The 26,563-nt window shown below is 36.5% G+C and overlaps 1 protein-coding gene across 8 annotated transcripts in view; it reads left to right on the top strand.

The window, feature by feature from the left end:
• CD47 (CD47 molecule) overlaps positions 1–26,011 on the top strand; it is a 47,941-nt gene extending 21,930 nt beyond the window's left edge. The window contains exons 4-11 of one of the 8 annotated variants that reach the window (XR_924218.3): positions 8,250–8,357; positions 9,558–9,650; positions 10,673–10,765; positions 11,533–11,625; positions 13,536–13,582; positions 17,132–17,163; positions 18,500–18,524; positions 21,810–26,011. Coding sequence is in view for 4 of the 8 variants with exons in the window: in NM_001777.4 (NP_001768.1) it covers positions 8,250–8,357; positions 9,558–9,650; positions 10,673–10,765; positions 11,533–11,625; positions 17,132–17,163; positions 18,500–18,524; positions 19,451–19,483; positions 21,810–21,814 (482 nt within the window). In the remaining 4 variants the exon portion in view is untranslated. Of the gene's footprint in view, positions 1–8,249; positions 8,358–9,557; positions 9,651–10,672; positions 10,766–11,532; positions 11,626–13,535; positions 13,583–14,753; positions 14,850–17,131; positions 17,164–18,499; positions 18,525–19,450; positions 19,484–21,809 lie in introns of those variants that run through there. The other 7 variants (NM_001777.4, XR_241522.3, XR_007095768.1 and 4 more) reach the window with 7 other exon arrangements.
• The last annotated feature ends 552 nt before the right edge of the window (positions 26,012–26,563 follow it).

Below are 26,563 nucleotides of genomic sequence, written 5' to 3'. Positions count from 1 at the left end.
CTTTCACCTCAGTTATAATTCTGATATTATAACGCTAAAATCTCTGCAAATTTGATGGGTGAAAAAGCATCTTATTGTAATTGTAATTTTTGTGTTAGTAAGGTGGAATGTTCTTTTTTATATTTTTTGTACTGGTCATATTTTAAGGAACGTGCTTATAAACCTAAAGAAATATTTTGGTGGGAATTTTTTGTTTTGGCTCATCTTGAAACAGGTAGATGTGTGTGTATGTGCATGGAAGAGGTATGTCTATACATGATTCACCCAGCCTGCGCTCACATTTAAAGGTGTTGATGATAATAGTAGCTAACCATTTGTGGAGCTCTTGCTCTGCTTGACAGGTTCTGTGCAAAGTACTCTATATCTGAAATGACATTTATTTCTCCCAGAAACTCTATGGGCATAGACACTGTTGTTATTCCCGTTTTGTAGATAAGAAACAGGCACAGATAGATTAGGCAATTTGCCCGCAATCACCCAGCCGTTTCCTGATAGTACTGGGATTTGAACTAGTACTGTTTACCACTGCACTGTACTGCCTCCCCGTTTTGCATTTATTTTGAGGATTTTATTTCCATGAAGGGTGAACCTATATCTAAGCACATAATACTGAGTAGCTAAAACTTATTAGGAGAGCAGAATGTTGACCTGATTTGTTTACTTATTCTGCAAATACCTAGTGACAGGGTGCCTACTGATTGCTGGACACCAAGCTACATGCCTGAAATGTGGGTGTGATGTGCATATTGCCCTGGTTTTGTAGCACCCACATTTAAGCCAGGGAGACACGAATGTATGTGCATCCCATGCCTTGTCACATCTTTGAGATAGTCATGGATCCAAATCTAACTTTTCTGTTAGTGCCTCTGTTGATGGCCTGAGCATTCCACCAAATAGAAATAGAAAGCACCTCTATTCTCCACCTGCTTAGATGTATATTTTTTAGAATCCAGTATGGTAAATCTTCTAAAGCATTCATAATAACTCAGACCCATGACTTTTATTTTATAGATTTCTAGTTCTGCTTAACTTTTCCTGATTACCATTTATGGTCTGTACTTGGCTACAGGGGATTTCTCTCAGTGGTTTTTCCAGCTCTGCATGTGAGTCTTTGTGGTCCAAGACAAACCTGGACCTTTACCAGGCTAAACTTTCAGTAAAGACAGCAGGTTATGCCCTCATTTGCTCACTCTGAGGAGAAAGAGTTTCTTTATACCAGAGCTGTATCTTGAAAGATGTCTCAGGATGCCATTGGTCCTACTGAGGAAGAAGCCTGAGAAGACTCTTAAACTCCCAGAGCCCAGCCAGCACTTGGTGAGCCCTGGACCACGTTTCAAAGATAAAGGCCTCTTACAGGGAAATGTTCCTAAATACCTTCACCTTTAGCTTAGCTTTAACTTAGGAACTTTTAAGCAGAATCTCTATGCTTAGCAAACAGCTCAGAGATTGCTAGAATCAAACACCAAGGCTTAACTGATAGTATTGAATTTCAGACGCTTTGTTTGTGTTCTGAAAACTACACCAACTCACAGTTTGCCACTCTACTGACAATTAAGTTCCTGGCTGATTTTCAGGATTCTTCTTTCTCACTCTGATATCATTTTAAGTGCTGTCCACCTAGTCCTCCAGTTCCTGCAGGATTAAGGTCCAACTGTATGTAAAGAACTGGCTAACATTTTGAAATTCTTTGAGATAGGCCTATCTGTTCTTTCTTTGCCTTTGTAACTTTGTTTTATACAGGCAATACTGGCTTCGCACAAAACCGCAAGACCATAAACATGACCATGTAAGCTGAAATTCTGCAAAACAATCTTCATGATGAATGGGAAAAACTATTATTATATTGTTCCATGACCTTTAAAATTTTTTTTGTTGTTAAAACCTTAAAAACTCTGTTATTATCAATAACAACGGCATTGGGAAATGAAAAATAGTAAAGCTAGTATTTAGTATGTGGTAAATTAAATCATTAGAAACATCGAGAATGAAAGTGTGTTATCAAGAGTAGTTTGAACAACACTTGTGTGTTCTTCTTGCATAACTTTGGATACAGAGCAAGCATCTTCTCTATGGCTTGGTGAATTGTCATACCCCTTTCTAAGTTTGGATCGGTTTCTACCGTTTTATCCTTTGCACTCTCAATGTCATGAAAGAATTCCTTTAATGTTTTTTTGAATGTTTAAAGTTTATTTTATTGCCAGTCACTTCCTCTGGGACATCTTTATTCTTTTTGTTACATCCTCCTCACTTTCCTCATTTATATCAGTAAGTCCACCTTCGCTGAGTTCTTCTGGCTTCATCTCTAGAGTTTCTTGCATTGCAGTAATGTCGACATTCGCACAATCAGCTATTTCTTCTCTTACTCCATTTATGGTCTATTCAAATTTCACTCCTAGCATTTGTCAGTTTTTATTTCTTTACTCTTTCATCTTTCTTGCCTAGTTTCCTCTTTTGATTTATCCATTATAAAATGTCACATGGGTTTATCACTGGGAAACAAGGAGGTAACAAAACTCCATACTTTGCTGTCTGTGCATGACCTAAATATCAGATGTACAGTGACTAGTCACCAACAGTCTTCAAAAGAAGTGACATGGTTGATCACTGATCATGATGGGACATCTGCTATTTACATAGTTATTTTTGAACTGAAGAAATAGCAGTGAAGTTGTACTTTATGCAGTTACTCAGTTAATATATTGTGGTAATTGAAATTTGGACTGTTTATGAGGGATTTATTTGATTAAACCATGGTAACTGGAATTCATATCAGAATAGTGCAAAGTGAGGACTGCTGTACTTGATTCCAAATTTAAAACTGTATTCTAGGCATCTTTAATTTTTTTTTTTCAACTTTCCCCTCCCTGCTCAAAATTACTCCACAGAGATTTTGGTTACGGCTCAGATGTCTTTGAGTAGATGTTCCTGTAGAAATCATTGTTAGAAAATTCAAGGAAAAAAGTTCTCATTACACTACCTTGAGATCCTACCAAGTCCTTGAGTTTTGACTTGAGGACAGCTTAATAATGAAAGTAATTCAGCCATGAAAGCATATTTAAAATAAGTAATGGAACAGGAAATTTCTTCATAGATTAGAAAAATTATTCTGAAAAAGTGAAGACATAGCCTATCTTGGACTAGGAAATTTCCATCCAAGAAAGTAAAATATACAATAAATATTATCACAAAGAATCATTCTGTGACCTGGTTGATGGCCCCTGGTAATAAGACTTTGTTATTAAGTTTACTGTGAATTCTTTTTTTTTTTTTTTTTTTTTTTTTTTTTTTTTGAGACGGAGTCTCGCTCTGTTGCCCAGGCTGGAGTGCAGTGGCGTGATCTCGGCTCACTGCAACCTCCGCCTCCCAGGTTCAAGCGATTCTTCTGTCTCAGCCTCCCGAGTAGCTACAGGCTACTGGCGTGCACCACCATGCCTGGGTAATTTTTGTATTTTTAGTAGTGATGGGGTTTCACCATATTGGCCAGGCTGGTCTCGAACTCCTGACCTCGTGATCCGTCTGTCTCGGCCTCCCAAAGTGCTGAGATTACAGGCATTAGCCACCATGCATGGCCCCTTACAGTGAATTCTGTTCAATAATCTTGAACTCCCAGTGCTTTCCCTTGGTCCTGTCCATATAATGATCACATTCTGTTATTAAATAATGTGCTTATGTGCTGATTTTATTGTAGGAGGAATTGAACAAATCTATAGCTCAGCATTTTACTCTTTTGTAGAAATCCCTTGACCCTTTCCAAATCCAGACATCACAACCTTCTCCATATACTCAAAAATTGTGAAATCCACAAGGCAGGGAAAGTTGATAATGAAAAAAAGGAAGTTTGGTCTGTTGGACATCCTCTTCTTTCATCTTTTATGTTCAAAGTACTTGATGCACAAAGCCTGGACTCTTTTATCTCTGTCCTATAGACTGATGTCTAGTCAGTATTCATTGTGACAAAATTGTTTCATTAGAGCAAGTTGGATAGTGTATGGAGATTATTATAAAATGATTTAACTTGTCTTCTGTCAAGTAATTTTATAATTGGTATTAATGTTCATTTTTTTCCAGTACCAGTTTCAGAAGCTTTCATTTGTGTATGCATGTGTGTGTTAAATAAGTGTATTAGATACTTGAAAAATAGTAATTTAAATTTAAACAATTTAAAAAATGAAATTGTAATTTTATGTGTAAAGGTGTCTGATGTGCTTTATTCTGCACTGAAAACAATATTCATTTACAGCTCAACAGACACCAAATATATTCTAAAATTACTTTCCTAGAGTTATCAGAAAACAGCACTGTAATAATGAAATCAAACCCATCTTTCTTTATGATTTATTCTTAGTCTGATACGCATCAGCCTGGTAAGCCTTCCTGTCTCTCTGCTTACTTACCAATCACTCCAAATGTCATGTCTTTGGGCAGGCATTAAATTCTTGGGTTTTGGGTTTTGTTGGATGGACTGCAGTCTGTGTGAGCCTATATGGGTGTGTCAAATCCAGTCTTTGGGGTGTCATGGAAACTTAGCATGATAGACTTGATTTTATCCCCAAGTTGACTTGGTAATTTCATTAGATTTCATCAGTCACAACCTGCATTTTATCTTGTATGTGCTGTCTATTGGTCACAAAATCAGAAAACCTTCTTGTCCATTCATAACATTAGCTGTTTTTTCAGGTGGCTAGAGGGACATGTCATTGCTTCATCTGCATGAATTTGAAAGATTAAATGCATAAAGGAATTTTCTTAGAGTAGAGTAGGCCTTCACCATCTCTTTAACTGGGAAAGAAGTTTTGGGAGTAACATACTCATCACTCACACCCCCCTCCCCTCAAACACACACACTCACCCATTAGAATGTAAGGGCCTTGAGGCAGGCCTTGTGTTTGCTTTTCGTGTTCACTGTCAGCATTTAGAATAGTGATAGTCATATAGATGGATAGTGCTCAATCAATTATTGTCAAATAAAGTAATCTACTTGTTCCTTGATTTAGACTAGCAAAAGGGGCTGGTACATTGTAGGTACACAGTAAATATTTGTAGAACAGATGAATGAACCAACCCAACAGATTTCTTAGAAGTAGCCTGCTTTTGGTTACTAATTATTTTATAGAACATATAAAAGAAAATTTTAGAATACCTAATTTGTTCACAAAAATGTTATATTGTCTCCCCTGATACTTGGTATTCCTGTGTCAGGCTGAGCACTAAGGTTATACATTTTTTGTTAAGCATGTAATTACTGTTATTTCTCATGTACTTTATTTTGTGTATTGATTTCAGTAGTTGTAGCTGAGGGTAATCCTTAAGAGCATGCAGATTTTAAAAATTACATAGATTGCCTTGCCAAGCCGTCTGAAAGTCATACTAGAAAATTTGATAAGAGCCTGCTGTTAACAACACATTGAGTTATTTTTATCTTAATGCTAAGTGGAGAATTACTTGAATTTATTTTTTTTGCTGCATTTAATGTTTTGATACATTCAATAAATAAGGATAAATCCACTTACTGAAGGACAAGAAAAGATCAATAAGAGATCCTTGAGGTTATTGGGTTCTATGGCATCTATTATATCAAATTCCTTGCCCTTTCACTATACTGAGAAATTTGACGACTGGGCTAGCAACAAGATACCTACCCCACATTAGCTGTGGTACCTGCTGAAATGTGACCATGTGAGCAAAGAAAATGAGCCAAAAGAAACTCTTTCTGAAGATTCACTGAAGAAAACCTGGAGATACTCTTTCATTAGTAGACCCCACAGAGACAGGTGGAGTGTCCGTTATCCAGAATGCCTGGGACCAGAAGTGTTTTGGATTTCAGATTTTTTCACACTTGGGATCCTCAACATGTGTATTTGTTGGAAATGGCTACTTAATTTAAGGAAAAGTTTAAGGTGGCCTGGAAAATAAGTAGTAGTTGAACTAATCAACAGGAACCAAAACTACTTTCAATATATAGTGTACTTATACTCAAAGAGAGACGGACCATTTTATGGTGGAACCCTGTCTATGGTAGTATTTTGTGATGTTTTATTTTTGTTGCTATTGTTTGCACTGTTTTCTCCTATAACAGCTCTTCTAAGCCTTAAGAGGATAAATTTTATATGAGATTCAAACTCTTATTTTTGTTAAGAAGGATGTAAGTCACCAGGCATGGTGGCTCACACCTGTAATCCCAGCACTTTGGGAGGCCGTGGCAGGTGGATCATGAGGTAAGGAGCTCGAGATCAGCCTGGCCAACAATGTGAAACCCCGTCTCTACTAAAAAAAAAAAAAAAAGAATTCAAAAATTAGCCAGGCCTGGTGGCGCATGCCTGTAGTCCCAGCTACTCGGGAGGCTGAGGCAGGAGAATCATTGAACCTGGGAGGCAGAGTTTGCAGTGAGCCGAGATTGTGCCACTGCACTCCAGCCTGGGTAACGGAGTGAGAGACTCTGTCTCCAAAAAAAAAAAAAAAGAAAAGAAAAAGAAAAATATAGAAGAAGAACATAAGTCAACCTTTTTCCATGAAATTATACTGTACTCTAAGGCAAATTCTTGTTGCTTGATCTTAGTAGCTTTTTTATGCATTGACTTAAACCTGGAAGAGTTTCTTATGAATGTTTGATTGACTGTGAGGTGCATTTGAAACAGCTTCTACTTTATAACCCTTTGCAGAACTTTCAAGCTCTATTTAGATAACAATATATATGGGATTAAAATGGAAAATGTGACATATGTCTAGAGAAAGTTCCTTTTTCTGTGTATGTGCCTTTTGTGACTTATACACTCAGTTTCATTCTAGCCAGCATTTGAGCCTAGAAAATAGGGAAGTTATGAAAACTCTGTGCCTTATAAGAAGGCAAGGCTATGACTGAGTATTAGACACATAAGTCCAGGGCTGGGCGGAAGTAATGAATCAAATAAAAACTTGGGGAACTTGCCATAGGATGTTTTCTGATTAATATGGGTTTCTCTTCTCTGATTAATGTGGATTTCAGTTACTCAACTGTGTAACTGAAATCCACATTAATAAATTGGTTATTTATTGCTTAGGACTTATCTCCCCATAAAGAGACTAAAATTGAGGTTATAAATTATGGGTAGATAGAAATTCCAGAAATATTTAGGTACCTGTCATATACCTTAAACATAGATTTTTATCACAATCATTTAGGGGCTTATTTATTGCTTTTACTTTATTTAATGTTTGTCACTGTAGAAGAAAAAAAACTAAATGCTAAATATAACATTTAAAATATTTTCCCCTTCATGACAGCCACCAATTGATTACTGTCATGGAGACTATCTCTATGTGGATGACACACAGCAGCATTTCAATCACACGCTGTTTCTTTCCGCTACTCAGTTTGCTTTTAGGTTGCCTTAAACAACTTCCTTGGTGAAAAAATCAACTTCAATATTAACCAAAATTTAAAAGATTCATATATAGTAAAAGAACTAATATTCGCAGATTGACCCATTCCATTCTTTCAGAGAAGGTATGAGATACTTGACAGTGGAGCTAGCAGCAGAAACAATAACATGTATGATGAATCCCATTGAGTCTTTGCAGTTTATTTTTATTAAAATATTTTAATTGAACAATTTAAGCTTTTTTTCTTCATCAGGATTTCACAAGGGTGTAATCTGCCCAGTTTTATTCTGTCATTTTTTTCAAAACAAAATAACTAGATTTCCAGATTGTTTACTAATTTTTTATAAGGTAGGACAAAATTCTCTTTTTCTCAATATTGTTAATTAACCCATTATTTCCCATTAGTATTATGTACATCAGTGTTGTGTTGTCACTTGGAGTGGTTTTGCTCATCGGGGGCATTGACAATGTCTGAAAACAGTTTGATTAACATAACTGGCATCTAGTTACTAGCATCTAGTATGTAGAGGCCAGGGATGCTCCTCAACATTCTATATTATGCAGAGCAGTGTCCCCCCTCCCCCCAAAAACTTATCTAGCTCAATTTATTAGTAATACATCAACCGAGAAAGACTGATGTATAGAACCTCATTTGTTAGTGTAGGAAAATAAGGTGTCACCTATAAATTCACCATCCATATTTATACTGCCGTGACGTTATCCATTTGCTTATGAAAGAGATGTGAGGTGACTTGATGATATTAAGGAGTTGTTCCTCATAAGTTATTACATTATAGTACTTCTGTCAGTTTGTCTCTGTACCTTACAAGTTATTAAAATGGCTTCACTTGTGATTGAGTTCATATAATTCTTTGTTTTTCTTTTTTAAGCACTTAAATATAGATCCGGTGGTATGGATGAGAAAACAATTGCTTTACTTGTTGCTGGACTAGTGATCACTGTCATTGTCATTGTTGGAGCCATTCTTTTCGTCCCAGGTAAGATGTGCAGTTCCTAGGCAGGAACGCAGGAGGTAGATGAGTGCATTCCAAGGTGAGGAGGGCTGCATTAGTTTCCTAGGGCTGTTGGAACAGATGACCACAAACTGGGTGGCTTAAACAATAGCAATTCCCTTTCCATGCTGGAGGCCATAAGTCTGAAATCAGGACGTCATCAGGGCCACACTCCCTCTCAAGGCTGTATGGAAGAATCCATTTCTTGGCTCTTCTAGCTTCTGGAATTTGCTGAAGAATGACAGTGTTTATCATTCCTTAGTTTGCGGCAGCATAACTCCACCCTCTGCCTCTCTGGTCACATTGCCTCCTCCTTCCTCTATGTCTTTGCCTCTGTGTTTTTGTTAAATCTCCCTCAGCCTCTCTCTTATGAGCACATTTGTCATTGGAATTAGAGCCCACTCATATAATCCAGGGTAAGCTCCTCCTTTCAGATCCTTAACTTCATCATATCTTTTGCCATATAATGCAGTATTCACTCTTTTGCTGTATTAGGTAATATTCACAGGTTTTAGGGATTAGGAGGTAGAAATAATTTTAGGGCCATCATTCAACTCACTACAGAGGCAAACTTCATTGGCCAAGACATGAAAGTAGAATGAATGTGGGAACCAAGTCTGGAAATTGGCAGTTGCATTTGGAGGATGGGAATGTGAGTGGGAAATGAGGATATGTAGCACATGTAAAGAAAAGCAAAGGAAGGCTGGGACTCAACCTAATAACTATAGCACACCATCGTTTGTGGAGAAGAATGCAGTGCAGGTGTAATATTTAGGAACATGGGCTTGGCAGCTCTATTGGTATCTGAAGTTAGTGAAGACAGCAGGAAGAAGGAGGTGAATTCAGAAGACAACTTGAAGGAACAATTGATTTGACTTTGGGGCATACTGAATACAGCAGATGAAGGGAACAGTAAAAGATGAATACACAGTTTCTCACTGGAATTCTGTAAACTAGTTAAGAAGGAGGCAGAGCCAATTCAAGGTTTCAGCATGTTGAAACTTAAATGTTGAGATTTAGATGTCTTAAGTTTGGTCTTAATCAAAAAATAGTCACTAATTTTGTGTGAGGTTTTCAGGGAAACGTATATTTTTAAAATTTTCACAGTTGTCAAGCACAGAATTTAGATTAGTACATTTAAAAAGTATGTAGGAAAATATTTTAAATGTTTTTATTTATTGACAGGTGAATATTCATTAAAGAATGCTACTGGCCTTGGTTTAATTGTGACTTCTACAGGGATATTAATATTACTTCACTACTATGTGTTTAGTACAGGTGAGTTTTCATTGTTACAGTATGATTTTGTCTACCTTTTTCATTTACAAAACAGCAGTTTTGGTGAAAATGCTCATATAAATTTTTTACAACTCAATAAGAGTAGGTTTATTAAAAGATTTTTCATGCTATTCTTAGTGACATTTTCCCATTCATATTAATTTTAAGGTTATTCTAGGTTAGCTGTTTTGTAAAAAGTGACTTTCATATGTATTTGATGCCAATCAGCATAATTTTAAATTATGCCATATAACTTCTTAATGATTATTTTCATATTCTAATTTCAGTTTTTTGAAGTTATAAGTGGATGTTAAACGCAGTCTTTCTCTTCTTTTGCTAAGCTTCTGCTTCTGCATTAAGAAGACTGGTTCTATAAAATGGAATTATGAATCACAAATAGTAGAAACATATTTGTTTTAATTATTAGCAAACCTTAATACTGTAGTTTTAAGAGATGGTATGGAAATCCAAACTATAATCAGTATCATTTTCACTGCATTTTGAAAGTAGATCACTACCATATTTAGTTATTACTATTAAAGAGTCACATTTAACACTTGGTCTTAGAGCCTATCTCTGGCTCGTTGTACATTGGAAAGGTATTAGTTTGTTATAAAATGACATCTAGAGATAGAGAGCATGATGTTTACAGTCAGGTATTTGCATAATGGTTCCCTCAGCAAGAGCAATTCCATGTGCATGTGGAGAAGACATTCATAATAGCCATTCATATTGTAAAATGCACAAGTGTGGTAAAAGCAGCATTGTTCTAAGATTTAGGGTAAAAACTTCCAGTCCAGCTTAGCTGACTGTGAAAATTAAAGGCTGCCGAATGTGTGAATTTGGAGCTGACTACTTGTGTGGAAGGGTTAGATCACTGAGTTAACATCTACCGTCAAACAATGAACTCCAGAGTCAGTCTTTGGTCTTAGGAGATCCCTGATTATACCAAATGCAAGTGGAAGTTATTGCTTTTTAAATACTCTTGACATGCTTCTGTTACATCCTTTTCCTTCCTCCAGCGATTGGATTAACCTCCTTCGTCATTGCCATATTGGTTATTCAGGTGATAGCCTATATCCTCGCTGTGGTTGGACTGAGTCTCTGTATTGCGGGTAAGAGTCATCTTTCTGTAGACCTAATTTGGGTTACTTTTGGACAGAGCTCTTCTTCCTTTTTCTTTTTCTTTCTCTCTTTTTAAAAATATATAGACTTGATTTTTTTTTTTAGTGCAGTTTTTGGTTCATGGCAAAATTGAGTGGAAAGTACATTCACATGGATATTTTTATGTGGACATAAGTTTTCAATTCCATTTGGGCAAATACCAAGGAGTGCAATTACGGGACTGTAAAGAGTATGTTGAAATAAACTGCCAAACTCTCTGTATCAAAATAGCTGTACCATTTTGTATTATCACCACCAATAAATAAGAGTTTTTGTTCATTCATATACTTGACAGCATTTAGCATTCTGAGCTTTTCTTTTTAAACTTCCAATTTACCCCAGTGGTAATAGTGCTTTCCTCCTCGCTACAAAGATATTAGCTGTATATATGGCTTGGTGGCTGATTGTTCTAGCACCCAAACTGATATGCCTGTATTTGTGGAAGAGCTTTTAAAATAACTGGGCTCAAATTGGTTGGAGCCTTAGACTTGAAACACCAGTTCCCATTTCTTGATATGATAAGGTATGTGTTATGCAAAGGAGGGCTTTGTTCTTCTAATAATTTTGAGTCATTTTACTGGTTAAGTTAATAAACATATATGGATAATTTTTGTTTTTTGATCGTTAGAATAACTCTCTTAAAACTTGGGATTATTACTGTTTTTTAGTAAGTTATTTCATATGCTTTTCTAATACAGAATTTTATTTGTTTTTACAGCGTGTATACCAATGCATGGCCCTCTTCTGATTTCAGGTTTGAGTATCTTAGCTCTAGCACAATTACTTGGACTAGTTTATATGAAATTTGTGGGTAAGTCAATCTTATTTTCATTAACCTATGCCAATAATTTCAGATATATCACTTAGAAAATGCTTTTTAGTTTGTTCTTCCAGTTTAGGACCAAAAATGAGAAAATACAATTGGAGTGATTCGAGGATAATTAAAGAGGGTAGAAGACATATAGGATTTTTAGTTGGTTCTTCCAGTTTAAGACCAGAAGTCAGAAAATACAATTGGAATGATTTGAGGGTAATTAAAGAGGGTAGAAGACATATAGGATTAATGAAAATTTGGTTTCCAAAGTAGTTTAAAGGAAAATGGCTTTATCTATTAGAATGTGTACCTTTTTATACTAAGTAAAAGGGGAGAGATCTTTGAGGATCCATTTTAAGTAATAGAATAGGATTTTTAATTGTTCCAGTGTTTCTGTGATAGAGCTGTCCTGCACAGACCTGTTTGTTTGTCACTTGCTCTTTTTCTTGCAGACATAGACACCCCAGACAGGAATTAAAATTCACAATCTATCAATTTTGTTCATTTAAAGAGCAGTGACCTCTAATGCATGACTTTAAAACAGTTCTAGTTAAAACCAATATAATGAAAACATTGAGTTTCAAAATTTAGGCTTTTACTCCTTTTAAAATCAATTATTAGTAAGTATGGAATTTACTTCATTGTTTCTAACTTGTATATTTAATCTGCCAATTTTCAAGTAACATTTCTGCATAAATTCTTATTTTTTATTGAGATATATGTACACAGAGAGATATTTTCAATTGTGCCTGAAACTAATGTTATCTTACCTAAGCTCAAGATGTTCCCAATAATGTAATTTATATTAGTTTCCGTTTTTTAAAAAAATTATATTTTTATGAAATAAAACATACTCTTAACCACCTATCAAAATAATCAAAAGTTATAAATTAATGGAGTAAAAAAATAGTGTTTCTGCTTTGCTTTAGGTAAACTTTGCTGTATGTGTTTCTAAAACTTAATACGAAACTTGAATTGTTATAGTCAAATAATTTCTCATATGACTCACATAATAGTTTCAAAAAACTTTTACCTTTATTTCTGAACTTTGGTTCTTGATGATTGTTAATTGAATTCAATTCTGTCATATATTCTGTGTCTTTCTTTAATTAATGCTTATTAGATAAATAATTAAAATACTTAACTAAAATCTGCGTATCCTTAGCATATGAGTTCATAAGTCTTAGTTGTTGCTCAATGAAATTTTCTAATTTTATACCACATAATGCCATAAAATACAATGGAGACATCTAAAGCAGAATGGAATTCATGTGGTAGCTACAGTGAACATCTTGAATGTTGGTGCATATTCTATTTTTGTTACATCTTCCAATCACCATGTGTCTGGTTCTGGAAGATGACACTCCTGGTTTTGTTGCTCCCCACAAATGCCTGAGAATAGTGTGTGATTTGCAGTATCCATACAACTCTGGTGAAGTAGTATGAGATACCTTTGGCTGACGGGCAGCACGCTCTTATTTTTTCCTCACTATCTGGGTTGTCCTCCCTTTTACTCCCATGCCACCCCATGCCTTCCATATCTAGCATAGAATGATCTTCAGTACAGTTGCCAGCAGGTCTGGTGACAATGTCTCAAGTGGAACTAAGCATTGTCTATCTGCCACCTCCTTAACTTCACTCTCCTGCCTTCTCCATCACTTACGTTCCTCCAAGCCTGTGAAACCACTGTACTGTACCTGTCACTGTTCTGACATTAAAATTAAAATGACTTAAATCTTGACAAGTACCCCAAATTATTTTTTCTTTGTCATAGGTTAGCATATAAGTATACTATATGCTAAAATTTATGCTATATGTTTAAAATTTAGTGCAATTTTATTGATAGTGTCCTAATTTTATTGATAGTATCCTAAATTAACTTTTTAAATCAACTTGTCTGATGCCAGGGTTCAGAGGGACACCTACAGTCAGTTGAAAGGCAAGAAGAGACAAGGTACAGGAAAGTTGCTCTTTAGATAACATGGTAGACTAGGAGGAACATTAATATGGTTTGCTTATATAATCTGACTGTGTAAATCTGAATCTATGTAACATTAAGGTTGCAAATTTGAGCGTTTATATTAGGAAGTTAAAATTTTAAGTGTCTCCAAAATAATTTTTACTCATTGCACGTGTTCTGTTTTAGAAAAGCCTAATGATTGTGTTTTGATTTAAATGCAATAAAATCCTCAAATAGTTAAAAATCCAAGCTTTCTCTTCAAGAAGAAGTTAATGTCGCTATGAGATTTTTAACTTTTATAATTTTTATTATTTCCAACTTTAAATTTGTAGCCTTAATTTGCTATTTTAAAGAGTAGGCCTTTCACTTTCTACAACTTTCTGTGAAAGTGACTTTCACTTTCTATTTTTTAACTTTTTAAACTGTGTTGTATTTTTTTTCTTTTATTGGAAGCATTTTAATTTTATAAGATGAGAAAAAGGACTGGGCACAATAACTTAATGTGAAAGCATAGAAAAGATTACAAGAACCTAACCAAACTCACTAAAGTTGGGCTTGTTGTTTGTAGAGAACGTTTATATAATTATAAGGATCAATACTTTCTCATTTTTAAAGCCATTACCAGTTAGTTCAATATAAGGGCATATAGTGTTTTGATACAAATCAATCTGGTAGCAGTAAGTACCATATTTACCACAACATCCCAGATATTTTAGAATGATGCAGATGCAGAATATATACGTAGAATTTATATCTATGTATAGATACAAATTCAGATATTTTCTTGTTCAATTTAAGGAGAGGTAAATTTGGTATCAATAGAAAAAATGTTTCTGAAAAATTTAAACCCTGGAAATGTATTTATGGCATGGAGTCAGATGTTTCAGGGAGAGAAGAACAAATCAAGAAGCATTGCAAGTATGCTCATATGGAATGCTTAAGGCTTGTGGTTAAAAAATATATATATATGGCTGTCAATGTCTTAGGCTCATGGTAGCAGCAGAAATCGTAATAATTCTTTTGTCACATGGGTTATATCCATATTGGAGAGAATTAACTCAGGTGAAATTAACTTGTACACTGTTTGGTTTTATAATATTTAGAGGGATCACAACTGACTGATGTCCCTTTGAAGTACCATTCTTCATAAATCTTTTTTTTTCAGAATGGGCCAGCCAACTGTGACATCCCTTGGATCGGAGATTTAGAACTAGAAAGTATTCTTTCTACATTATTAGGGAAGAAAAGGAGTTACTTGGCGGTTAGCAATATTCTATTTTGTTTTGTTTTGTTTTTAGAGACAGGGTCTCATTATGTTGACCAGGCTGGCCTCGAGCTCCTGGGCTCAAGCAATGCTCCCACCTCAGCCTCCCAAGTAGCTGGGACTACAGGCATGTGCCACTACACCTGGCAGTGTTTATTCTGATAAATACATTTATGAGCTCAAAAATGTAACTCTAAAACCTTATCTCTGAACTTCCATATTACCATCAGAAATTTAGATAGTTGTTTAGTTCTCTTTTTCTTTGTAGAACATAGATATAAGGCATGGTTTCATTGAAGTCAGTTGTATATACATGTAACTATCCTGATGTTCCCAAATAAAGCTCTGTATTTCTGCTTAGTTTATTGGGGAGGCTGCTAAATGTAGTGCATCCCAACCCATTTTACCCTGTTCTACTTTAAAAAGAGGTTGGCTTCTTGTTTGGATACAAGGACCAAGTCACTCCCCCAGGTTCCTCCACAGTAAGGGAGGCCTATTTAAAGCCGCCCATGGCACTAACAGAAACTGGACTCCTATGAGCTCAGATACATAACTGGGCCTCACAGGGGTGGGACAGTATGTAGTCTAGGAATTGGAAGGATCCATTCCATATCAAAGAACTGAAGCATCGTGTTGCCCTCTCAGCAGCAAGAGTAAGGTGATGCCCCTGTCAGTTATAGTTCCTGAGTTCCTCTGTCTTTGATTCTTTGCCTATTAGCCAGCTAGCTCACCCTCTTGTTTATGCCACTGTTTTTTATCCTATTCATGCCTTCTCACAGACAACTTTTCTTACCTACAGCTTTGGACTCATCCTTGTCTCCTTTCTGTTTCTTTTTCACTTTCCCTTCCCATCACCAACTTTCTGGGTTTTTTTCTGTTTCTTCTTAGAGTCCAGTGGCAGGGAGAAACTTGTCAGTCCAGTCTGTTGCCATTTTTCCTGTTTGAGAAAGACTCACCAGCTTTTGGCTGGCTCACAGATTGGCTTTCCTTGGGTCAGGACCCACCCTTTTCCCTGCCAGCTTTGGAAGCTTGACAGAATTCGAGTGTGCAGTGGTGGTAAATAAATAGTAAGGAACACAGAGCAGTCCTGGAGGCGTGCCTCCATCTGCTGATGAGAAAATCCAGTGCTGTCATCCAGCCCAGGTCCCAGCGGAATGGGCCTCTCTGTTCAGTAGGATCCCCCTCCTGCTGAGTGGTTCATGGCATGTTTCTGTTCAACGCTTTTCCATCTGTAGGATTCTTATTCTGTATTTATTTGTTTTTTTGGGTTTTTTTATTTTTTGAGATGGAGTCTCGCTCTGTCGCCCAGGCTGGAGTGCAGTGGCACGACCCCAGCTCGCTGCAGCCTCTGCCTCCCAGGACGAGGGAGATCCTCCCACCTCAGCCTTCCACGTAGCTGGGACTACAGGCATGCACCACAGGCATGCACCACCACGCCAGCTAATTTTTGTATTTTTGGTAGAGACAGGGTTGCATCATGTTGCCCAGGCTGGTCTTGAATGCCTGAGCTCAAGCAATCTATTTGCCTTGGCCTCCCAAAGTGCTGGGATTACAGGCATGAGCCACCACGGCCAGCCTTCTCATTTGTTTTTTTTATAAGGAAGCTATCTCTTCTTCCCTCCCCAACTAGGGTATTCTTTTTCCCTTTCGTCACTTTGCTCATGTACTGTATTCCTTCAACTTCATTAATGAATCCATTTGGAAGCAGTGAAAAAGGCAACTCAGAAAGCTAAGAAGAAATAGATAGAGGAATACTCAGAGCTATCTGAGTATTTTCTTTAGTTTGTTAGCTCTTTGGAGCTTTGAAACTGGAAAGACCCAGGGAGTGATGTGGAGAAAGAGACTGAGCTTGTAAGACACAGGAGCAGTGAGCTAAGGGAGATGGAGTAGTGGGGACAAATTCTGGCACATTCTGTCTACACTCTGGGTAGATAGAGGAGGGAGGATGGAGCACCCATGGTGGGGGTATGTTGGTGACAGCATTTTCCCACCAGCCAGTGTAACAAGTGGCTGATTTGGGGGAAAGATGGCATAAACAAATGAGAGAATGTGTTTACTATTTGATGTAGATGGGTTATTTGCTTCATTTTTCAAATCAGTGTATATAATCAAGAATATTCAGCATGTTTGAATAGACTGTCAGAGCTGGAACTCTTTCATTAACATCTCTGGCACCTTTAGTTTTAGCCCTGAACATTTTATCTTAAAATTAAACATTACCAAATGCCTTAGTTTATTTCATTTATTAAATTTATATTCTTATTTGTTATTTATATCAGCTTCCAATCAGAAGACTATACAACCTCCTAGGGTAAGTTAAAGTTTATTAAATGAATTGTGAATGATCATTTGAGGGATTAGACTGAGGAACTTGGTAATTGAGATATTTTGCTATCTGTTTTGTCTCACGTCAAATTAAGAGAATGTTGAAGTCATTGCATGACCTTTGCATGAATGGGTCCAGTTCTATTTTAAAACCTGTGTTTGGTCATTTTAGTGTCAATGGGATGGAATAAATGATTTCTTAAGATTGTACTGACTTCTCACACCCAAAACTGGAAAGTAGGAATAATGGCTATATTATCTCTGCAATCAGAAGGAAGCTGATTCCAATATATCACCTCACCTGTTGGATTCATTGGATGTGCATACACAGAATGACAATTTCAGGCTTAAAAATGAGGAGAAATCTATACTAAGTTGACATCACTGATAATTATAATCTATAAAATAAATGTAAATATTGCTGAAAACATCTGTTCGGAGTTATGATTCGATCCTCTCCCATACAAATGTTTTATAAACATTTTTTCCCTTAAAACTGTGCTTAAGGTTTCATTGTACCTTAGATACCTTATTAAGCCATCTGAGGAAATTGCAAGAAAGGAGTAATTTTAGGAGGGCATAAATGAAGAGAAAAGCATATTTATAAACATAGACTTATCACAGTGACAGGCCCAAGAGGTATGTTGTGGACATAAGCTCTGGAAAGGATTATATTGTACTTAGCTTCCTATAACGGAGTGATGATAGATGTATCTGGAATGCCAAAGAGAGTCTTCTGTCTGTGGCCGGAGGTAGAGGTCACATATGCTTCTAAGTCTGACAAGCCTCATTGTGCCTAAAGGGCAGGTGGGGCGGGTATGTGTGTCTACCACAGGGGTATATTCTAGAAAGATTGGTGCCATAGCTATGTTGGTCACAAGAGGCCAGCAACTTAACTGGACCTGTGAATCCTAACACATTTTCTTTCCCAGTTACTGAGTTCAATTTGCGATACTTAAAGATGATTCTGTTTTGCTTCCACCTCTTCACTGTGTTATTTATTCTGTTGTTGCTATTTATGCTTGCACTTTCATATTTTTAGAAGTTAGAATTTCTTGAGCTGAGAGTGGTGAAGTGGGAAATTCTGTTTAGAAAAATAATATTAAGAGAATAATACAGTTATTATTAAACTATTAACCCGACTTGGCAAGCTTTGCTTTAACATTTACAGGCTTATTTCGTTGTTTTGTTTTTTCTTTTTTTTTTGACTGTAGGATTTACTGCTTACTACGTAATTTAAATATTAGCATATATAAGTTTTACTATAAAATGACATGACATAAATTATATTTTTATGTAAATATATTTTAAATATTTTTCAGAAAGCTGTAGAGGAACCCCTTAATGGTATGTGGTTATTTCACTCTTAATCCTTTACCAGATCATAATTTGATCTGGCCCGCAAAACAGTTAGAATGCCCTGTCTATGCCTTAGGAAGAATCTAGGTTTTTTTCCTCTTTTTTTCTTTCCTTGGCATCTCTACTCTTGATTATTCATCAAGAATTATGGGCTGGGTGCGGTGGCTCACGCTTGCGATCCCGGCACCTTGGGAGGCCAAGGCGGGCAGATCACGAGGTCAAGAGATTGAGACCATCCTGGCCAACATGTTGAAACCCTGTCTCTACTGAAAATACAAAAATTACCTGGGCATGGTGGTGTGTATCTGCAGTCCCAGCTACTCGGGAGGCTGAGGCAGGAGAATTGCTTGAACCCGGAAGGCAGATGTTGCAGTGAGTTGAGATCATGCCACCGCACTCCAGCCTGGTGACAGAGTGAGACTCTGTCTCAAAAAAAATAAAAAAGAATTATGAATATTACTTTTATAATATTCTCACCACTGGGAAAAATGCACTATTCTGTGTCTAAGTAGCTGCTTACCTTAACCAAGTGATATTTGGGCAAGGGGATCGTTGCCTTTTGCTACTGGTTGAGACGAAGCATGGCACCCCCTAGTAGAGAAGGATCCCAATTACTTCCAATTTGTGATGTACACATTTTAGAAAGATACAGGCTATTGCCACAGAGATAGACCAAAACATCTCATTTTCTTTCTTTGTAAACCTAGATCTGATTTCCCAACTAAGTCTGTTTCCTTTGTGAATGCTGTGGGTATGATCCACAGAAAGGCTACATAATGAAATGATAGCTTTACAATTAATTTGGCTGTAGAGTTGTAGACTAGTTAGCATATCATTGCATATTTGTTTATTTAGAAATGATTTCCAATTGTGGAACCTCACTAACTGCCTGCTTGGCTTGTTACTAATCCTAGCATTCAAAGAATCAAAAGGAATGATGAATGATGGTAAGTATAAAATGCACTTAATAATTATAGATCAGTTAAAACATGGACATTGGAAAACAAAAAAGCTTCTTGAAAATGTGGCTCTTTTTTAGTAAAAGGGACACTGTCAGATGATAAAGGTTCACATTTCTTGATGTATACAACTTAAATCTACTTTGCTAAAAATTGCAAAACTACTACTGTAAAAACTGTAGGGTGTCACGAATCAGACTCCAGTCATATGGCTCCCAGCAAAGAGAAATTACCACTTTTTGTAAAATGTTTTTCAGATTCCGTGTCTGGTGACTGTAACTTTAAGATGCCTTTTATAAGGCACATAAATAATCTGGCACAAATCTTTATCATTTTGACAGAGTTTCTTTTATGCTTGTGTTGGTGATTTTGTTGCATTTAACCCATGGGGACTTAACATCTCTGCTTTTCCAATCAGGAGCTTGGTTCTAACCTTTTGGGAGATGATTAAAGAGAGAGGTTGAGAGAGAGAGAGAGAGAGAGAGAGAGAGAGAGAGAGAGAGAGAGAGAGATGTTTCGTCCTCAGCTTTTGCTTCCATTTTTTTTTTAAGAACTCTGGGCTAATAACTTCTAATCTTTATAGAATATTTCAAAGAAATATATTTGTTCTTAAAGATACATAGGTTTGAGATATTGAGTGCTACAAGCATTTATTTTGGTTTTACCTTAACATATTATGATTCCTCAGTTTTGTTGGCATTTAGTAATTATGTTTATGTTTTTATCTTATCAAAAAATGTCTTCTTACCTTTGATATTTATAATCACTCCTCGGTCATGTAAATAGTTTGCTTTATATTTTACTGTTTTAAAGTCTGTGACCTTACCTGCCCTCTTCTGTAGCAAAGTGCAGCATTTAACTCAGGAAGCTATATTCCCCCCAAGTGTCATTAATATTTGCATAAGATTAAAAACACTCCAGTCGGCCGGGCGCGGTGGCTCACGCCTGTAATCCCAGCACTTTGGGAGGCCGAGGCGGGCGGATCACAAGGTCAGGAGATCGAGACCATCCTGGCTAACACGGTGAAACCCCGTCTCTACTAAAACTACAAAAAATTAGCCGGGCATGGTGGCGGGCACCTGTGGTCCCAGCTACTTGGGAGGCTGAGGCAGGAGAATGGCGTGAACCCGGGAGGCAGAGCTTGCAGTGAGCCAAGATCGTGCCACTACACTCCAGCCTGGGTGACAGAGCAAGACTCCGTCTCAAGAAAAAAAAAAAAAAAAAAAAAAAAAAAACACTCCAGTCATGCATTGGTGAACAAAGTTTAAAACAACGTGTATTCAGCATGGAGTCACAGAATGATCCTACTTTTGTATGTTTGTGTCACAGCCTTTAAAAGCATGTCTTGTTATATAAGCCATTACCCTCCTAAAAAAGACTATAGTTCACAGGAATAAGTTAAAAGACATAACAAAACATAAAATGACTAGTACCAGGAATTGTGACCATGGTTTGTTCTGGTAACTGTGGCATGGCATGGTTTGTTCCAGGAATTGTGGCATGGTTTGTTCATGTTTACATTCTGATGTCCTATTTTTTTTTTTTAATTTCTATGTCCTTTCCTTTTCCTTGGTGGTGTCATTGTTCTGTAGCTGTATGAAGAAACTAAACTTTTCTCCATTTTCAGGAAAGCAATCTAAGAATCTTGAGTGCCTCTTCCTTTGTTAATTTCTCTTAAGATGTGACTTTTTTAAACTACTGCATCAGGAAATATTGTAAAACAGTTTTGCCTTGAATATTTGTGATGAAATCTACGATGATCTTCAAGATTCTCTTAATTTTGCTAATATTCAGCTGATCAGAATTTGTTTTTAAAATGTCTGGCTGGTGGGTACTTCCCACTGACAACTGCTTATTGCTTACAGTATGTCTGCCTTGTCAATGAATGAGGTTCAGGGTGCTTCCTAGGGATCAGAGTCAGTACCATTTTTCTCTTTCATCTACAGCTGATCAGATGTTTATTTTACTTACATTAAATGAATGATGGAGATCCAAAGTGAATATTATAGAATATTATTCTAGGATCAACATCTTTTGCTTTGAAAAATCAACATCTCTTGGCTTTTCCTCAGCCAACCCAGCAAACAGAGATTATCAGACTCTGTTGATTTTTTACTTTCATTTGGCATTGGCCTTTTTCTTACTGAAATTAAAAAGGCTAATGATTTGCCTGGTTTCTGTCTCTGACCTTTGCAGGTCTATTTTCTTAATTTTTAGATACTATATATCTGAAACTTTTTTTAATGTGTCAACTTTTTAATGGATAGAAAATAGACACGAATAGTGATTATGTGTTCATTTTTCAATTTTCCAGAATAACTGAAGTGAAGTGATGGACTCCGATTTGGAGAGTAGTAAGACGTGAAAGGAATACACTTGTGTTTAAGCACCATGGCCTTGATGATTCACTGTTGGGGAGAAGAAACAAGAAAAGTAACTGGTTGTCACCTATGAGACCCTTACGTGATTGTTAGTTAAGTTTTTATTCAAAGCAGCTGTAATTTAGTTAATAAAATAATTATGATCTATGTTGTTTGCCCAATTGAGATCCAGTTTTTTGTTGTTATTTTTAATCAATTAGGGGCAATAGTAGAATGGACAATTTCCAAGAATGATGCCTTTCAGGTCCTAGGGCCTCTGGCCTCTAGGTAACCAGTTTAAATTGGTTCAGGGTGATAACTACTTAGCACTGCCCTGGTGATTACCCAGAGATATCTATGAAAACCAGTGGCTTCCATCAAACCTTTGCCAACTCAGGTTCACAGCAGCTTTGGGCAGTTATGGCAGTATGGCATTAGCTGAGAGGTGTCTGCCACTTCTGGGTCAATGGAATAATAAATTAAGTACAGGCAGGAATTTGGTTGGGAGCATCTTGTATGATCTCCGTATGATGTGATATTGATGGAGATAGTGGTCCTCATTCTTGGGGGTTGCCATTCCCACATTCCCCCTTCAACAAACAGTGTAACAGGTCCTTCCCAGATTTAGGGTACTTTTATTGATGGATATGTTTTCCTTTTATTCACATAACCCCTTGAAACCCTGTCTTGTCCTCCTGTTACTTGCTTCTGCTGTACAAGATGTAGCACCTTTTCTCCTCTTTGAACATGGTCTAGTGACACGGTAGCACCAGTTGCAGGAAGGAGCCAGACTTGTTCTCAGAGCACTGTGTTCACACTTTTCAGCAAAAATAGCTATGGTTGTAACATATGTATTCCCTTCCTCTGATTTGAAGGCAAAAATCTACAGTGTTTCTTCACTTCTTTTCTGATCTGGGGCATGAAAAAAGCAAGATTGAAATTTGAACTATGAGTCTCCTGCATGGCAACAAAATGTGTGTCACCATCAGGCCAACAGGCCAGCCCTTGAATGGGGATTTATTACTGTTGTATCTATGTTGCATGATAAACATTCATCACCTTCCTCCTGTAGTCCTGCCTCGTACTCCCCTTCCCCTATGATTGAAAAGTAAACAAAACCCACATTTCCTATCCTGGTTAGAAGAAAATTAATGTTCTGACAGTTGTGATCGCCTGGAGTACTTTTAGACTTTTAGCATTCGTTTTTTACCTGTTTGTGGATGTGTGTTTGTATGTGCATACGTATGAGATAGGCACATGCATCTTCTGTATGGACAAAGGTGGGGTACCTACAGGAGAGCAAAGGTTAATTTTGTGCTTTTAGTAAAAACATTTAAATACAAAGTTCTTTATTGGGTGGAATTATATTTGATGCAAATATTTGATCACTTAAAACTTTTAAAACTTCTAGGTAATTTGCCACGCTTTTTGACTGCTCACCAATACCCTGTAAAAATACGTAATTCTTCCTGTTTGTGTAATAAGATATTCATATTTGTAGTTGCATTAATAATAGTTATTTCTTAGTCCATCAGATGTTCCCGTGTGCCTCTTTTATGCCAAATTGATTGTCATATTTCATGTTGGGACCAAGTAGTTTGCCCATGGCAAACCTAAATTTATGACCTGCTGAGGCCTCTCAGAAAACTGAGCATACTAGCAAGACAGCTCTTCTTGAAAAAAAAAATATGTATACACAAATATATACGTATATCTATATATACGTATGTATATACACACATGTATATTCTTCCTTGATTGTGTAGCTGTCCAAAATAATAACATATATAGAGGGAGCTGTATTCCTTTATACAAATCTGATGGCTCCTGCAGCACTTTTTCCTTCTGAAAATATTTACATTTTGCTAACCTAGTTTGTTACTTTAAAAATCAGTTTTGATGAAAGGAGGGAAAAGCAGATGGACTTGAAAAAGATCCAAGCTCCTATTAGAAAAGGTATGAAAATCTTTATAGTAAAATTTTTTATAAACTAAAGTTGTACCTTTTAATATGTAGTAAACTCTCATTTATTTGGGGTTCGCTCTTGGATCTCATCCATCCATTGTGTTCTCTTTAATGCTGCCTGCCTTTTGAGGCATTCACTGCCCTAGACAATGCCACCAGAGATAGTGGGGGAAATGCCAGATGAAACCAACTCTTGCTCTCACTAGTTGTCAGCTTCTCTGGATAAGTGACCACAGAAGCAGGAGTCCTCCTGCTTGGGCATCATTGGGCCAGTTCCTTCTCTTTAAATCAGATTTGTAATGGCTCCCAAATTCCATCACATCACATTTAAATTGCAGACAGTGTTTTGCACATCATGTATCTGTTTTGTCCCATAATATGCTTTTTACTCCCTGATCCCAGTTTCTGCTGTTGACTCTTCCATTCAGTTTTATTTATTGTGTGTTCTCACAGTGACACCATTTGTCCTTTTCTGCAACAACCTTTCCAGCTACTTTTGCCAAATTCTATTTGTCTTCTCCTTCAAAACATTCTCCTTTGCAGTTCCTCTTCATCTGTGTAGCTGCTCTTTTGTCTCTTAACTTACCATTCCTATAGTACTTTATGCATCTCTGCTTAGTTCTATTAGTTTTTTGGCCTTGCTCTTCTCCTTGATTTTAAAATTCCTTCTATAGCTAGAGCTTTTCTTTCTTTCATTCTCTCTTCCTGCAGTGTTTTGCATACATCAGAAGCTAGGTACATAAGTTAAATGATTGAGAGTTGGCTGTATTTAGATTTATCACTTTTTAATAGGGTGAGCTTGAGAGTTTTCTTTCTTTCTGTTTTTTTTTTTTGTTTTTTTTTTTTTTTTTTTTTTTTTTTTTTTTGACTAATTTCACATGCTCTAAAAACCTTCAAAGGTGATTATTTTTCTCCTGGAAACTCCAGGTCCATTCTGTTTAAATCCCTAAGAATGTCAGAATTAAAATAACAGGGCTATCCCGTAATTGGAAATATTTCTTTTTTCAGGATGCTATAGTCAATTTAGTAAGTGACCACCAAATTGTTATTTGCACTAACAAAGCTCAAAACACGATAAGTTTACTCCTCCATCTCAGTAATAAAAATTAAGCTGTAATCAACCTTCTAGGTTTCTCTTGTCTTAAAATGGGTATTCAAAAATGGGGATCTGTGGTGTATGTATGGAAACACATACTCCTTAATTTACCTGTTGTTGGAAACTGGAGAAATGATTGTCGGGCAACCGTTTATTTTTTATTGTATTTTATTTGGTTGAGGGATTTTTTTATAAACAGTTTTACTTGTGTCATATTTTAAAATTACTAACTGCCATCACCTGCTGGGGTCCTTTGTTAGGTCATTTTCAGTGACTAATAGGGATAATCCAGGTAACTTTGAAGAGATGAGCAGTGAGTGACCAGGCAGTTTTTCTGCCTTTAGCTTTGACAGTTCTTAATTAAGATCATTGAAGACCAGCTTTCTCATAAATTTCTCTTTTTGAAAAAAAGAAAGCATTTGTACTAAGCTCCTCTGTAAGACAACATCTTAAATCTTAAAAGTGTTGTTATCATGACTGGTGAGAGAAGAAAACATTTTGTTTTTATTAAATGGAGCATTATTTACAAAAAGCCATTGTTGAGAATTAGATCCCACATCGTATAAATATCTATTAACCATTCTAAATAAAGAGAACTCCAGTGTTGCTATGTGCAAGATCCTCTCTTGGAGCTTTTTTGCATAGCAATTAAAGGTGTGCTATTTGTCAGTAGCCATTTTTTTGCAGTGATTTGAAGACCAAAGTTGTTTTACAGCTGTGTTACCGTTAAAGGTTTTTTTTTTTATATGTATTAAATCAATTTATCACTGTTTAAAGCTTTGAATATCTGCAATCTTTGCCAAGGTACTTTTTTATTTAAAAAAAAACATAACTTTGTAAATATTACCCTGTAATATTATATATACTTAATAAAACATTTTAAGCTATTTTGTTGGGCTATTTCTATTGCTGCTACAGCAGACCACAAGCACATTTCTGAAAAATTTAATTTATTAATGTATTTTTAAGTTGCTTATATTCTAGGTAACAATGTAAAGAATGATTTAAAATATTAATTATGAATTTTTTGAGTATAATACCCAATAAGCTTTTAATTAGAGCAGAGTTTTAATTAAAAGTTTTAAATCAGTCCAATGTGTTTCATAATTATTTTTTAATTTTCTCCATGGTGCAGTGAAAACATCACATGAGAAAGCAGGAGACCTGGGTGCTAGTCCTGGCTACACTACCAGCTAGCAGAGGACCTGGGAAAGCTACTTCCCTGGATCTCAGTGTCCGTCTCTGCCTGTAGAATGAGATAAGTCTCTTCAAGACTGAAATGTATGGTTCTCCATTTTAATTATCAGTTAGGACTATTGATTACAAGTGAAAGAAAACTTAAATCTAAGAAAAATGGGATCTATTGGCTAACATAACCTGAAAATTCAGACACACAGCTGGATCCTGGGCCTCCAAAAAGTGTCATAAGGACACAATATCTTGCCAGTTCTCAGCTTCACTGTCCTTCGTGTGGCTTTACTCTCCCAGGTTCCTGTGATGGCAAATGGCAAGCTGCAATCCCAAACCCATTTTCTTCCAGGTTCAGGGAGAGTAGAGGGGTAAAAAAGAGCGCATGTCTCTCTCTTAATAGTCCTGTCCACCTTGGGTTGCACCTCACCTCGGTGCTCTGACTGGGTCACGTGCCAT

The sequence above is a fragment of the Homo sapiens genome, chromosome 3, assembly GCF_000001405.40.
Source record: "Homo sapiens chromosome 3, GRCh38.p14 Primary Assembly".
NCBI lineage: Eukaryota > Metazoa > Chordata > Mammalia > Primates > Hominidae > Homo > Homo sapiens.
This window is presented reverse-complemented; position numbering and strand designations above follow the sequence as displayed.